Below are 15,727 nucleotides of genomic sequence, written 5' to 3' on the forward strand. Positions count from 1 at the left end.
TCATTGTGACAGATGGGATCCTAGTGTTTTCTCGCTGCCCTTTACTCAGGAGCTAGGAGAACAGAAAGCAAATAACCAAGAAACCAACACACTCAGTAATCTGGATTTCTCAGAGTTGAGCCACAGCACTTGGAAATCAAATATTGGCTCCTCCTGAACGCCCCTTTTAGCCTGGTGTTGTTAACCAGTTTAACATTCCCTTATCACATGCTCATGTGGGCAGAATTAAATGGAATTAGCTGCAAATTATATAAAATTCATTTACCTTTAAAGGAAGCTATTTGGTCATGTTCAGTGTAGACAGAGCATTGCATTAAGACACAAGTTAATGGTACTGCCTGGAGATGAATCAATTTGCTTTGGTTTTATTACCTCCCTTTATTTGTTCTTATGTGGTAGCTACTGTGACTGGAAATGCTCAGCTCAGGTTCACAGAGCCCATGTCAGAGCCACATTAACATCTCAAGGAGAGTCCCACTCTTTCTAAAGAGCTCAGTCCAAGTAAACACAGTAGCAAAGTAAGATCATGCTGATCCTCCCTTAATACTTAGTCACAAAGAATGGATGCTGAACAAGGTGGCTTATGCCTGTAATCCTAGCACTTTAGGAGGCCTAGGTGGGAGGATCGCTTGAGGCCAGGAGTTCAAGACCAGCCCGGACAACATAGCAAGACCTTGCCTTTACAAAAAAAAAAGAAAAAAGAAAAAGTTAGCCGGGCATGGTGGAGCATGCCTGTAGTCCCAGCTACTCCAAAGGCCGAGGAGAAAAGATTGTTTGAGCCCAGGAGGTTGAGGCTGTAGTGAGGTAAGATTGTGCCACTGCACTCCAGCCTGGGTGACAGAGGGAAACCCTGTCTCAATTAAGAAGATAAATAAATTTTAAAATGGGTGATGTCTAAGAGAGAAAGGCAAACCTATGAGAATGTTGAGGATTGATAAGCATCTTGTCCATATAGGGGTTCAAATAACATCTATTGAACTTCTGCTTTCTGCACTGACTTAGGCATTTTTCTAAGATTTCTTCATTTCGACCTCACCACAACCTCATGATGCACAGGTATATTTTTATTTGAAAGTGCATGCTTCATGAGTTCTTTAAGAGAGTATATAAATCTCTATATAACAAATAAATTATGCTTGAGGTGTCTATTGTTGTTCTCAATTTATAATGTTGATAAGAATGACTGTGGGCAGGCGCAGTGGCTCACGCCTATAATCTCAGCACTTTGGGAGGCCAGCGTGGACAGATCAAGAGATCAGGAGTTCAATACCAGCCTGGCCAACATAGTGAAACCCCATCTCTACTAAAAATACAAAAAAATTAGCCAGGCATGGTGGCATGTGCCTGTAGTCCCAGCTACTTGGGAGGCTGAAGCAGGAGAATTGCTTGAACCCAGCAGGTGGAGGTTGCAGTGAGCCGAGATTGGGCCACTGCACCCCAGCTTAGGCAACAGAGTGAGACTTTGTCTCAACAACAACAACAAAAAAAAAAACAAAAAAAAGAATGACTGTGTACATGTTTAAAATGCAGACTCCCCAGTCTCACTCACCCCCATATCGTTATTCAGAAGGTCTGGGGTTGGGCTCAGATATTTTCATTTTATAAGCATCCCAGTGATTCTTGATATACACAGTTCATGAGTCACACTTCCAGGAACACTTCCCTATAAATCCATGTTACTTCATTGATTAGTAAGAGTTTGTATTTTTCTGAGATTTGCCTGAAGGTAAATGTGTTGCAATATGTAACTGGAGAAAATATAAAAAATAAATGTATCCAAATACTGTGTCTCTGTTCACAACAATACACTCCTAAGAGATATCTACCACAGGAAGAATTCCTAATTGGCAAATATGATAAAGTTGAGACCACAGTCAGTTAGCCTTTTACTTTAATCTTTGCAAGAGAGGCTGTGGACCTAGCCTAGGCTGTCAAAAGAGAAGGCTTCACTTGTGCTGCTCTGAGTTTAGCATTGACTCTCCCATCTTAACCCCATCGATTTCTAATTTTAACGTGGATTTGATTTGGGGGGACACACAGAGGAATCACTTTGACGGCAGTGTTCCTGCACCCTCACAAAGACAACCAGGGTTGACCATGACCGTTTTTCTGATGTGGAAAAAGCAGGAATGGGGCAGGATTCCAGCTCTGCTCTGGCCTAGAGACTAGAATGACTCCTTTCCCTCCCTAGACATTTTAAGGTTTCCTCTGAGTTTATGATGACAGCTTCATCTCCAACCCACGAAAGCAAGAACCACAGACAATGCTAGTGGGGGTGCTCTCTGGCCAGAACACACTACTTAGATGCTGGGTTCCACACCTACTGGGATAGCTAAGGCATTTTGAGTTGTGATTAGTTCACCTGCTCAAGTCTTTATTTTGGCTTTCCTGGCTGTGAAAAAGAAGGCCCTGCCCCTTCTCCACACCTGTGGGGTCTCTCTGTGGTGTGCTGATGGCGGACATGAGAGTTCTCCAGCAATCCACCTCCTCCAGCCCTTTTAAGCAGGACTGTACCTGGGGGCACATTCCCCTAAAACACTGAGTAATATACCTACTAAGTACTTCCTCCCAGTGTTCCTGAATATACCTTTCCAGGTCTACCCATCTGGAAATATCTTTAGACATCAGCTCATGGTGATAGTCTGTCATTCTTCTGGATGCAGTAATAGCCAATAGTTCAATGTTTATATGCACATTAAAAGCAATGCTGGGGGAGAAAGGAAGAGATGACCATTTATTGAATGCTTTCAAAGTGCCAAAAACATTAGATGTTTTGTCTCATTAAATCCTCACAAAAACAATAAAAAATATTTTTTGAGTGCCTACTATATAGTAAGATAGTACAGTGTCACAGCCAACAGAATGGATTTTAAGGCCACATCAAGGCCAGGTGTGGTGGCTCATGCTTGTAATCCCAGCACTTTGGGAGGCCGAGGTGGGCAGATAACTTGAAGTCAGGACTTCGAGACCAGCCTGGCCAACAGGAAAAACCCTGTCTCTACTAACAATACAAAAATTAGCCGGGCATGGTGGTGCGTGCCTGTAATCCCAGCTACTAGAGAGGCTAAGGCAGGAGAATCGCTTGAACCCCAGAGGCAGAGGTTGCGGTGAGCCGAGATCATGCCACTGCACTCCAGCCTAGGCGACAGAGCAAGACTCAGTCTCAAAAAAAAAAAACAAAAAACAAAAAACCAGGCATGGTGGCCTGTAATCCCAGTACTTTGGGAGGCCAAGGTGGGTGGATAGTCTGAGGTCAGGAGTTCGAGACCAGCCTGACCAACATGGTGAAACCCGTCTCTACTAAAAATACAAAATTAGCCAGGCATGGTGGCACATGTCTGTAATCCCAGCTACTTGGGAGTCTGAGGCTGGAGTATCGCTTGAACCCAGGAGGTGGAGGTTGCGGTAAGCCAAGATCATGCCATGGCACTCTGGCCTGGGCGACAGAGCAAAACTCTATCTGGAAAAAAAAAAAAAAAAAAGCCACATCATCTCTGCTTGGATCTAGGCTCTGCCACTTACTAGCTATATAATTCTAGGCAAGTAACTTACCATCACTGGGCCTCAATTTCCTCCACTGGAAAATGGGATAACAGTAATTGGCTCATGGGGTTAACATTGGAAAATATTTAAACAACGCCTGGCTCCATGCATTTGCCATTACGATTACTATGTGCAACGGGGCCAGCTTATGGAACAGTGCTAGTATTTCCATTTTACAAATAAGGGCAGGGAAGCTTAGTGAAGTCATGTAACTTGGCAAGGGACACACAGCTTGTGCAGGGCAGAGCCTGATGTGGAGGACAGGTGTATGCAGCTCCTGACCTTTCTATGGCCCGCCAAAGCCAGCGCATATTTCTACCAATGAGTTTTGGTTACTCAAAGAGTGTGCAGGCAGGTGCACAGTGAGAGATCTACAGGCATTTGATCAGTATATGTTACCGAAAATCTGGGTCCTTCAAAGCATAAACCATGTGAAATGTAGGATGGTTGAGGAAGGAAGCTGGAGGGTAGTGTGGGTCAAGCCTTCTTTAGGCTGCAGCAGGAACCTGGAGGTAAGGAGAGGCTCCTAGGAGAACAAAGGATTAGTCATAGGAAATGGTGGTGGGAGGAGGAGGTGGAAGGCAAAGAAAAGGAACTGTGTGGAAGCAAGGAGCTGGTTACCTAGGACTAAGCTCAGAAGGGAAGCAGCAGGGATTTCTGGAGACTGCACATCTGGAAGGTAGAACCAGAGATGAGACAACCAAAGGGGTGAGTCCAGAGCTGTAGGGGGTGAGCCACCGGGAACACCAGGAGTGGGGAGCAACAGCTGACCTCAGATCCTTTGGAGCCTGAAAGTCCTTTCATACTTTTCCTTTCATCAGCAGAGTGAACTGAGGACCACGGAAGGATTAAACCAAAAGTGGAAAGAGCTCGTGCCTGGGGGCCCCACTCCCAGGGAGGAAGCGTTGAGCAGTGGCTGGAGGAAGCAGCAGACAGTTCTGGGGCACACGGAGTCCCCCCTCCTGCCCTTCTACTCCTCTTACACCAGAGAGAGCTAACAAGGTAGGGAATAAGACAATTACCCAATTCAATTCGGTTTTTAAGCTGCTTTTATCTTTACAGTTCAGGGATCACTGAATCATCTGGAAAATAATTTCAGCTCTCTGCTTATTTTCACTAGATTGCTTAGCCCTAGGAATATTGGAAAACCCTTCATTCAAAGTCTGAGGTCCTTTCCTCTCTCCAATCCCCACAACCCAAGCTGGGTTTCCCTGGCCCCTCTCAGACCTGGATACCAAATTCTGGGTATTTATTTATATATATATATATATTTTTAATTTTTTGAGACGGAGCCTCGCTCTGTCTCCCAGGCTGGAGGGCAGTGGCGCGATCTCGGATCACTGCAAGCTCCGCCTCCTGGGTTCACGCCATTCTCCTTCCTCAGCCTCCCAAGTAGCTGGAACTACAGGCGCCCGCCACCACGCCCGGCTAAATTTTTTTGTAGGTTTAGTAGAGACGGGGTTTCATCATGTTAGCCAGGATGGTCTCGATCTCCTGACCTCATGATCCGCCTGTCTCAGCCTCCCAAAGTGCTGGGATTACAGGCGTGAGCCACCGCCCTCGGCCAATTCTGGGTATTCATAAACCAGCAGGAGGGAAACATTGATTCGACTTAGGAAAATGAAAACCTGCCTGCATTAGTGCTCATTGAAGGAAATGCTAATGAACTAAAGTGCAATCAATTATAGAAGTATTCTCATTCCACACATCACATCGTTTGCTTTACAGAATTTTCCAACTCAAGAAACAATTTTTATTTTCAACAGAGATTTAATTATAAAATGAATATAAATTCCACGTGCATTCATGATGTATACCTTGGAGTTAAGTGGGATTCATCTGTTTTTTTCATTTATAATGGGATGCAGTGGCTTAAAAATCCTATCACCAAGCCAAATTCAGCCCTTAGCATGCCTCTGAAACCACCGAGGAAGACTTAGCCACTTACCAAGAACAAGGTAACCTGTGTTCTCCCGGGTGTAAACCGCGTCTCTGTGAAGGGAAAGGGGGAAGAGGGCCGGCAAGGACCTCCAGTATCAGCGAGGACTATCAGGACGTCCAGCTAATAAACGACTTTTTCACTGTCCACACTTTAATTGGTTTACAGCCTTTTTTGTTTATTTATCCATAAGAGCTGCTGTTAAATGGCTCGGGAAGGTGCTCGCCTAATGGCTCGGTATCGCTGCCGGGCCTGTTGTGGGCGAGGCGGCTTGGAGGGGGCGCAGGCGTCAGCGGGGATTCAGAGCGGAAACGCATTTCGCCTGTAATGGACTCGGCGATTTTACGATACCAGGAGCTAGATCCACGGGGAAGTACAACACACGACCTTACTAAGCGGAGGGTTCCGCTTGATGCGTTTTTTATACGGCTGTACGTGATAAAATTCCAGATAACTTTGTTTCATCTAATAATAATAATAACAATAATAAATGGTTGTTTGACCTTTGCTCCCTGGGTCCCTTCTATAGGTCGCAGGCAGCAGAAAATGCTAATTGTGAAAGTGAGAACGCGCCTCCATGGAATACCCCCGGCGATCCCCTCCTCCTCCCCCACAGCCGCGGGTACCCGGGTTTTTGCCGGCGACCGCAACCGGCGGATTTGCTTTCTGCTGAGAGCCTCTTTTCTTTCTGCAGGGCCGAGCAAAAATATTAAATGGAAGCAAATGAAGCATCGAAATGGAGACCAATTTACAGAAATGTGCAATTAGTTGAGAAGTGCAAAGTAAACACTCCGGGGGTGGCAGGCGAGGCAGGGAGCAGGGGAGGGAGAGTGGGGCGCAGACTGAGTCCAGAGTGGGTGTAGGGGTGCCCAGGGAGGAGGGGAAGGGGGAGGAAAAGGAGGGGGAGGGGAAAAGTGGCCGATCTTTGTCCTGAGCGGAGCTTGCCGTCCGCTCATAACCGCGTCGCCAAGTCAACCCTCGGCGACTCGGCAGATTATCTCCAAGGGTCAACACGCCGCGGCCAGGCAACCCCCTCCAGCCTGCCCTCCTGATCGATGTGGTCACTCGCGGCCAGGGTGATAGGGTAGAGTTCTCCGCGGCCGCAGACAATGGACTCATTGACGCGGGCGCACAGAGATTAGGTGCCCGGGCCCCACGGCCTTTCACTCTCTGCCCCCACCAAAACTGCAGGTGGCACTTTTCCCTGAAGAAATCACCGAAACTCTCCCCGCCCGCCGCCGTGCTTCCCTTGGCCTGTCTTCGGTGACAGCAAGGGCATCTACAAGCCAGGGAGCCACACATCAGAGCCACACACATGAGGCCACAGGCCAGGAAGCCACACACATGAGTTCTCACACATCGAAGCAAATGCTGAGACTATACCGGCCTCCCGCAAGAGAAGGAATCTGCAGAGAAGTCCACATTCCCGACTGGCTTTTTTGTCTTTTAATAAAAATAAAGAGTCCTCAGAATAGAGCACTCAATCCGCACTTAAAACACAAATATTTCCAGTAGGAAGAAAGAAATACATTAAGATTGACTCTCAAAGGTCTGGATGTTGGTGCGTTGTTTAGGAAAGGCGGAGCAGTGATTTTTCTCTGGCTTGGTTCTTTGTGGTTCAAGCTCTCTCTTGCTGAGACGTTTCTGCAAAGCTGTCTAGTTTTTCTAAAACCCACGGTGGCGTTTCGAGAAACGTCCTCATTTCGGGAGTATCCAGTCAGAGGCTGGTCAGGCCGCCAGGCCTAGCGGATCATGCCCAGGCAGGGGGTTGGACGTCACCGCCACCCGGAGGTCATCCATCCGCGTCAGTGGGTGCAGAAAAAGTGGCCCTGTTTAAGTCAGGACCCCAGAATGCCCAGAAGTTACTGAATGGTTTGAAGCCAAGCACAGATGTTATCATGGAAAATGCAGCGTTTTTATTTCTTTTTCTAAATATGTAACTCTTCCTCCACTTCCCCCTCTCCTGCTTGCCTTATTTCAATTGCAAGCAGAAGAGAGTGAGTGTTCTCTGCCGGCAAACTCCGCCAGGGTCCCGGCCCGTAGAGAGTCGTCAAGGGTCTGGAACCCCCGTGCCAACACCTGCCCCTGCTTCGCAGCCCCAAGAGGAAGGCCGCGTCTTTCCCCCTCGCTGTATTGGGAAGCTACGTTCCGGGCTGGCCAAATGGGCCCCAATTTTCCAAAACCCAAATTTGTAATACCCTTCAATTTTTTAAAAAAAAGAATTTAAAAAAGTCTCTGTGAATGCTTCAGAAGTTACCGTTTACACCCCAGAAGTACTTGCAGCACATCCACAAGTAAAAACACACAACGAATGCCAGAGTTTCGTGTGTTTTTTAACCGACATCTTTGTGGCTGTGAACAAACTTCATAAATAAAATAGAATCAAATGCTTCTGACCTAGAGAGCTGGGTCTGCAAACTTTTTTTTTATCGTATTCCGCAACAGTTAAATAAAAAATTAAAAACTCAACATGTCTCCTTGTAAACTACATCAATTAACAAACACACTATGTCCATTATCAAATATAATAGAAAAAATATAGGAAAATAGAAAATAGAAAAATATAGGAAAATAGAAACTTTTAAGCCACGGTGAAAATGTTTCTATAAATGAGTGGTTCTAATGTTTTCGTGAGCGCCCATTTTGGGGAGCACCGCCAGCTGCCCGTTCAGGAGTGTGCAGCAAACTCAGCTGAGAGAGAAAATTGGAACAAAAGCAGGTGCTCGCGGGTACCTGGGCCTAGCCTCTTAGTGCGGCCAGCCAGGCCAATCACGGCCCCCGGCTGAACCACGTGGGGCCCCGCGGAGCCTATGGTGCGGCGGCCGGCCCGCCGGTCCGCGCTGGCTGTGGGTTCCCTCTGAGATCAGTGCGGAGCTGTCAAAGCGAGCAGGGGTGGCGCCGGGAGTGGGAACGCCACACAGTGCCAAATCCCCGGCTCCAGCTCCCGACTCCCGGCTCCCGGCTCCCGGCTCCCGGTGCCCAATCCCGGGCCGCAGCCATGAACGGCGAGGAGCAGTACTACGCGGCCACGCAGCTTTACAAGGACCCATGCGCGTTCCAGCGAGGCCCGGCGCCGGAGTTCAGCGCCAGCCCCCCTGCGTGCCTGTACATGGGCCGCCAGCCCCCGCCGCCGCCGCCGCACCCGTTCCCTGGCGCCCTGGGCGCGCTGGAGCAGGGCAGCCCCCCGGACATCTCCCCGTACGAGGTGCCCCCCCTCGCCGACGACCCCGCGGTGGCGCACCTTCACCACCACCTCCCGGCTCAGCTCGCGCTCCCCCACCCGCCCGCCGGGCCCTTCCCGGAGGGAGCCGAGCCGGGCGTCCTGGAGGAGCCCAACCGCGTCCAGCTGCCTTTCCCATGGATGAAGTCTACCAAAGCTCACGCGTGGAAAGGCCAGTGGGCAGGTAAGCCTGGCTCCCCACCCCTTTCTCCTTTCCGGTTCTCACCCGGCCGCCTTACCTCCAAGCGCTCCCAGGAGCCTTCTCTCTGTTCCCGGCGCCTTGGATTATCCCGGGTCGGACTAAACTACATCAGGGAGCTACCGAGCCCATCCCTCACAGCAGTGCTTCTCTAGTCCAGTTTGAAGCATCTTTCCCACCCAGCTCTCCTGGGAGTGTACACTCCTTCCTTCCCTGTTCGCTGAGCCCATCTTCGCCCCAGGAGCCCGCGCTCCCAGCGCCATCCTTAGAGAGCCGAGGCTGAGTCCTGCTCAGGGCTTCGGACACTACAGATCCTCCTCCAGCAGGGGATCCGGGAACCCAGGACTCCTTGGTAGTGCACATCGAGGAAGCCGAGTAGGGACATGGGTGCCTCGGACCCAGGCCCCAGATCGCCTTCGGAGCCCCGGAGCCCCTCACTTCCCGCGCTTCGTTAAGGAAGGGCAGGCATCTAGGGGCGCCAGGTAGGTGCAGAAAGGCAGGGAGGGAAAGGAAACTGCACCCAACCCAGCAGTGTCCGGCTGCCCTGGTTGTGGAAACAGGATAGGAGTAAAGAGGAAGGGGCTGGGGCAAGGCGGGGGCTCACCGCGAGGCTGAAAGCCGGCCTCTCAACGTCAGAGCCTGGCAGCTAGGAGAGCAATCTGAGAAGCGAATTCGTTTTTCACCAACCGAAAGCAATTGAAGCTGTCTCCCCGCACCGCTTCCCAGGAAGTAATTTTTCAGGAGATGGGCGCTCCCTGCCTAGCTGGTGGGGAGGCGAGAGGCCTGGTTCCTGCGGCCCTCCGCGCCGGCAGAGAACAGAAGGTCTTTCCCGGAGCCGGGAGCCGGAGGCACGGGGTAGCCCCCGGGTCCTTTGCGGCCCCGCGCGAGCGGCAAGTTCCGGCGCGGCCTGTGTCGTCGCCGCTACTCACTGTCATCGCTGCCGTGCCTCAGCCACTTCTGGTCACACCTGCACCGCAAATAGTTGCCTTTTCCTTTCAACTGGCAGCCGGGAGTAGGGGGAAGCAGCTCGAGCCGGCGTCCCCCGGCCCACCCCGAAAATCCTCAGCGCCCATCTGCGGGGTCTGGCCAGCCCTGCCTGACACTGACCCCAGGCGCAGCCAGGAGGGGCTTTGTGCGGGAGAGGGAGGGGGACCCCAGCTTGCCTGGGGTCCACGGGACTCTCTTCTTCCTAGTTCACTTTCTTGCTAAGGCGAAGGTCCTGAGGCAGGACGAGGGCTGAACTGCGCTGCAATCGTCCCCACCTCCAGCGAAACCCAGTTGACAGGGGCGCCAGAAGCTGCCGCGGCGCCTCTGCAAATTTATCCAGCTCGCGCAGCCCGGGCCAAAGGCCTTGAAGTCTCCGGAAATGCGGGGTTCTTAGGAGGCGGGAGGACAGTCCCTCGAACAAAGGTGGGGGGCTCCTCGTCCTCACCCAGTTTTCTTCCAGGGCTGCCTCCCCTCCAGACCTCTCTTCTGGCCTCCTAGGCCCTCGGAGCTCCTGCTTTCCCACCCTGGGCCTTCCTCAGGAAATGGGCGACATCAGGGTCCCGAAAGAGGATTTGTGAGGTGGAGTAACTTCCCTATCCCAACCCAAGGGGTGATACCTCTGCTCTGGAGGACTTGGGCTTAGGCTGACCCAAGAAGCCAGAAAGTAAAACCAGAAGGCAAATCAGCAGCCTTGGCGAGGGTTCGGGGACCCAAGGAGGGCGACACTCTCGGGCTGGAGTTGGCCCCAGGCCTTTGCTGGCGCCCTCTAACCCGCTGCATGCTCGACTCTCGGGGAAGGAGACGACCTCCCCTCTCTTCCCCTGGAAGCCGTCTGCGGGGCCGGCTGCTATCCCCGCGTTCCTCTAGGGGAAACTTCGATGGAGCCGAAATTCAAAAATTGCAAACCCACCTGCCCCTGGGAAGAGCGAAGTGACAAAAGGGCTCTCACTGGCAGTACGAATCTGAATGCTAATGACAACAGAGGTTTTGAAAAACATTGACCCCCAAATGCTTCAGCAGCGCTGTCCAGCTGGCACCTAAACTGCATCACTCTGCGCCTTGGGGAAGGGCCCAGGCTTGGCGACCTTGACCTTTTCCCACCATCCTCAACCTCCACCCCTGCCGCGTCGCGCTGAGCACAGGTCCCCCGGGAATAGTGCACCCCAGGAAGTCTCTCCCTGAGCAGTCTCTCGCAGGGACTTCACGAAGCCCTCTCGCAGGGACTATACGAAGCCCGCAGCCTAAGGCAGGAACCCAGAGACATGTCGGTTTAATGTAAAAACTTTGGAGAGCCTTTCAAAATGTTTATTGAAGGCCCGTCTCGCTTCTCTCCCAGGCGTGGGATGCCAGGTAGATTCGGGGATGCCCCCAGGGAGTAGAACTCTCCCTGGACTAGGGTTTGAGCCTCTGCTTCAGCTTCTGGCGCCTCTTCTCGACCTGGGGGGAAACCCAGTAGGGTTCCATCGCGAAATTAAACCCGCCCCCAACACACACACACTCGCCTTTCAATTCCTTAAGGCTTAGCCAACATTCACAGGAGAAATGTCCCCTGCCTTTGCTCTAAGACAAGCCTCTCCCCGGAACTTTGGTGGAACTTCCCGCGCCAGCGTCCACAGCCTGGGTGCAGTCAGTATTTTCCACAGAAAAGAAAAGATTGGGACCTGGCTGAGCGCAGCGGCAAACAGTGAATGTGGGTCTCCAACCTCCTGGGCCAGGGCGTCCTGTTGCCTCTTGGAGACACGAGAGGCTTGTTTCTGCACCACTACCACCTCCTCCGTAGGGCTGTCGGTTCTGCAGCTGGGCTAGGGCCCCTGTGTCTCCCCTCAACACCTCTGAGGGCATTTGGGATCCAGGGCGTAGAGTCTGGAGCTGCCAGAGTTCTGCCCTGGCCAACGTGACCCCCAGAACAATATTCCTTCACTTCGCGGGCAGAAGTCCGGCTGAAGTTAAAACAATTATGGAGAATTTGCTGGCTCTCAGGTTGGGACTAATTACGATATAACTATAGAGAGAGGAAACACATGGTCAGATATAACAAAATGTGTCACAGTCTCCATTAGCACAAAGATTTTCAAACTGCAGGTTGCACCCATTCGCAGGTCATAAAATCAATTTACTAGGTTGAGATTAGTATTTTTTAAACGAAATAGCAGATAATGGAGAGAAAAGTAGATAGCATCATACGTGGTAAACGTTTGTTTTATGTCCTTAAGATTTGTCAGTATAACTGACCTGCAGTGTCCGTGTGTGAACTACACAACGATCCGAAATGTATTTCTCACATTTGTGGGTCACCATCAGGAGGTTTTTTTTAGCCCTGGATTAAAGGCGTTTTATTGCCTTTGTAGGATCCAGCCGGTTTAACTATTATATACATTTAAATCAACATCAATCAGTTGATTAACACCGATTATATGAGCGCATTCAAGGACCACTCATTGGCAGAGCCAAGCTTAGGCTCACGGCGAGAGCTGACTCGAGTTTGGTCTCCAATAAAAAGGCTATCTTTATTAGGAAGGGCTTGAGTTACTAGGGAAGAGCTTCGCGCGCCTACACTAGGCGCTGAAATGGGATGCTGGGGCTTGGTGGCTCCGGCGGGAGCAGCTGGTAGGGCTAGGGCTCCCTGGCCCCCCTTGAAGGGGTTGGGCTGCGTGGGTGGGGGCTGTGCGGGGCTCCGGGGGCCACACTCACGCCCTGTGTCGCCCGCAGGCGGCGCCTACGCTGCGGAGCCGGAGGAGAACAAGCGGACGCGCACGGCCTACACGCGCGCACAGCTGCTAGAGCTGGAGAAGGAGTTCCTATTCAACAAGTACATCTCACGGCCGCGCCGGGTGGAGCTGGCTGTCATGTTGAACTTGACCGAGAGACACATCAAGATCTGGTTCCAAAACCGCCGCATGAAGTGGAAAAAGGAGGAGGACAAGAAGCGCGGCGGCGGGACAGCTGTCGGGGGTGGCGGGGTCGCGGAGCCTGAGCAGGACTGCGCCGTGACCTCCGGCGAGGAGCTTCTGGCGCTGCCGCCGCCGCCGCCCCCCGGAGGTGCTGTGCCGCCCGCTGCCCCCGTTGCCGCCCGAGAGGGCCGCCTGCCGCCTGGCCTTAGCGCGTCGCCACAGCCCTCCAGCGTCGCGCCTCGGCGGCCGCAGGAACCACGATGAGAGGCAGGAGCTGCTCCTGGCTGAGGGGCTTCAACCACTCGCCGAGGAGGAGCAGAGGGCCTAGGAGGACCCCGGGCGTGGACCACCCGCCCTGGCAGTTGAATGGGGCGGCAATTGCGGGGCCCACCTTAGACCGAAGGGGAAAACCCGCTCTCTCAGGCGCATGTGCCAGTTGGGGCCCCGCGGGTAGATGCCGGCAGGCCTTCCGGAAGAAAAAGAGCCATTGGTTTTTGTAGTATTGGGGCCCTCTTTTAGTGATACTGGATTGGCGTTGTTTGTGGCTGTTGCGCACATCCCTGCCCTCCTACAGCACTCCACCTTGGGACCTGTTTAGAGAAGCCGGCTCTTCAAAGACAATGGAAACTGTACCATACACATTGGAAGGCTCCCTAACACACACAGCGGGGAAGCTGGGCCGAGTACCTTAATCTGCCATAAAGCCATTCTTACTCGGGCGACCCCTTTAAGTTTAGAAATAATTGAAAGGAAATGTTTGAGTTTTCAAAGATCCCGTGAAATTGATGCCAGTGGAATACAGTGAGTCCTCCTCTTCCTCCTCCTCCTCTTCCCCCTCCCCTTCCTCCTCCTCCTCTTCTTTTCCCTCCTCTTCCTCTTCCTCCTGCTCTCCTTTCCTCCCCCTCCTCTTTTCCCTCCTCTTCCTCTTCCTCCTGCTCTCCTTTCCTCCCCCTCCTCTTTCTCCTCCTCCTCCTCTTCTTCCCCCTCCTCTCCCTCCTCCTCTTCTTCCCCCTCCTCTCCCTCCTCCTCTTCTTCTCCCTCCTCTTCCTCTTCCTCCTCTTCCACGTGCTCTCCTTTCCTCCCCCTCCTCTTGCTCCCCTTCTTCCCCGTCCTCTTCCTCCTCCTCCTCTTCTTCTCCCTCCTCTTCCTCCTCCTCTTTCTTCCTGACCTCTTTCTTTCTCCTCCTCCTCCTTCTACCTCCCCTTCTCATCCCTCCTCTTCCTCTTCTCTAGCTGCACACTTCACTACTGCACATCTTATAACTTGCACCCCTTTCTTCTGAGGAAGAGAACATCTTGCAAGGCAGGGCGAGCAGCGGCAGGGCTGGCTTAGGAGCAGTGCAAGAGTCCCTGTGCTCCAGTTCCACACTGCTGGCAGGGAAGGCAAGGGGGGACGGGCCTGGATCTGGGGGTGAGGGAGAAAGATGGACCCCTGGGTGACCACTAAACCAAAGATATTCGGAACTTTCTATTTAGGATGTGGACGTAATTCCTGTTCCGAGGTAGAGGCTGTGCTGAAGACAAGCACAGTGGCCTGGTGCGCCTTGGAAACCAACAACTATTCACGAGCCAGTATGACCTTCACATCTTTAGAAATTATGAAAACGTATGTGATTGGAGGGTTTGGAAAACCAGTTATCTTATTTAACATTTTAAAAATTACCTAACAGTTATTTACAAACAGGTCTGTGCATCCCAGGTCTGTCTTCTTTTCAAGGTCTGGGCCTTGTGCTCGGGTTATGTTTGTGGGAAATGCTTAATAAATACTGATAATATGGGAAGAGATGAAAACTGATTCTCCTCACTTTGTTTCAAACCTTTCTGGCAGTGGGATGATTCGAATTCACTTTTAAAATTAAATTAGCGTGTTTTGTTTTGTTTTGTTTTTGTTTTTGTTTGAGAGGGTCTCATTCTGTCGTTCCTGGGTTCCTCTTTTTTTCAGGGATTCTCCTACCTCAGCCTCCTGAGTAGCTGGGATTACAGGCTTACACCACCACGCCCGGCTAATTTTTGTATTTTTAGTAGAGACAGGGTTTCGCCATGATGGCCAGGCTGATCAGGGTCTATTTTTTTCGGTACTAATCAGGAAAAATCAGGTAATTAAGAAATAGTGCACTTGAGTTTTGAGTTGGAGCACCCTGTGAGGGGATGAATATCCAGTTTTGTTTTATTTTTAATTTAAGAATATCTTCTCATGATGACTTTCTCGGGTAATATAGTCTAGAGCGTGGGAGACAGCTCGGAGTACTGCTGGCCAATACTGCTTCCTGGCAGAGCCAAGCGCCGCCCACCTGACGCCTCAGTGCTGCGGGTGGTGAGACCCGTCGCTGGCTCCCACCATGGTCAGGTCTCCTCTTTCCTCCCAAAGCTGAGGACGCAGGCGAGGCCGTTTTCTGTGACCCTTCCAAAAGAAGCGTTGTTTTGGATGAGTCTCTGTCCCCGGAGGCCGAGGGCCAAAAGTGTCTTATGTTAGAGGCAAAGATGCCCGGATTTAGAGGGCTTCCAACCCCTAGGACCACTTTGCTCTTCCCTGCAGGAAGCTCTCAGATGGGCGCCTTAGCCCGGTGGTGCACCCGACGGCCCTCCCCGGCGCTCCCTGTGTTCAGTACCAGTACCTCACTCCCAGGCGTCGCTGCTTTTCTTTTACTTTTTGCAAAGATAGACGCTGTTTGTTGTTGCCGTTTTGTTTTGTTTTGTTTTACTGGAGAGAGATATCGAGTCCCTCGGGATAAAATTAAGTCCCTTGGATCAGAAAGGGGAACTTGCGCATCCTTGAGAGTGCTCTTTCCTTGCGGTTCTCCACACCCGCCTGGGCTCTGGGGTGGGGCAAATCTGCGCTCGCATCCTTGGTCCCTCAAATATTGGCCCAGCCCGAAGTCCTGATAAAATGATTCGAACTCTCAGTGACTCAGTTTCTTCATCCAGAAAGTGGAGGCAAATACTACTTCA

General features: G+C 51.6%; 1 protein-coding gene and 1 long non-coding RNA gene across 2 annotated transcripts in view, besides 2 other annotated features; one reads left to right on the top strand and one right to left on the bottom strand.

The window, feature by feature from the left end:
* The window catches only part of PLUT (PDX1 associated lncRNA, upregulator of transcription), a 98,200-nt gene extending 92,567 nt beyond the window's left edge, over positions 1 to 5,633 (bottom strand). The window contains exon 1 of the long non-coding RNA NR_047484.2: positions 5,492 to 5,633. This is a non-coding gene — a long non-coding RNA (PDX1 associated lncRNA, upregulator of transcription). The remainder of the gene's footprint in view (positions 1 to 5,491) is intronic.
* On the top strand, positions 8,342 to 14,655 carry PDX1 (pancreatic and duodenal homeobox 1). The gene is made up of 2 exons (NM_000209.4): positions 8,342 to 8,886; positions 12,598 to 14,655. The coding sequence occupies exons 1-2, from the start codon at positions 8,481 to 8,483 to the stop codon at positions 13,041 to 13,043; spliced, it is 852 nt and encodes a 283-aa protein (NP_000200.1). The 5' UTR covers positions 8,342 to 8,480; the 3' UTR covers positions 13,044 to 14,655.
* Positions 12,144 to 12,811: an enhancer, noted in NCBI's record as "H3K4me1 hESC enhancer chr13:28497939-28498606 (GRCh37/hg19 assembly coordinates)". NCBI's record gives its function as "activates a minimal SCP1, AML or CMV promoter by ChIP-STARR-seq in primed H9 embryonic stem cells {active_cell/tissue: H9 hESC(primed)}" and the evidence as "EXISTENCE:reporter gene assay evidence [ECO:0000049][PMID:30033119]".
* Positions 12,812 to 13,478: an enhancer, noted in NCBI's record as "H3K4me1 hESC enhancer chr13:28498607-28499273 (GRCh37/hg19 assembly coordinates)". NCBI's record gives its function as "activates a minimal SCP1, AML or CMV promoter by ChIP-STARR-seq in primed H9 embryonic stem cells {active_cell/tissue: H9 hESC(primed)}" and the evidence as "EXISTENCE:reporter gene assay evidence [ECO:0000049][PMID:30033119]".

Source organism: Homo sapiens, chromosome 13 (genome assembly GCF_000001405.40).
Source record: "Homo sapiens chromosome 13, GRCh38.p14 Primary Assembly".
In the NCBI taxonomy this organism is placed as follows: Eukaryota; Metazoa; Chordata; class Mammalia; order Primates; family Hominidae; genus Homo; species Homo sapiens.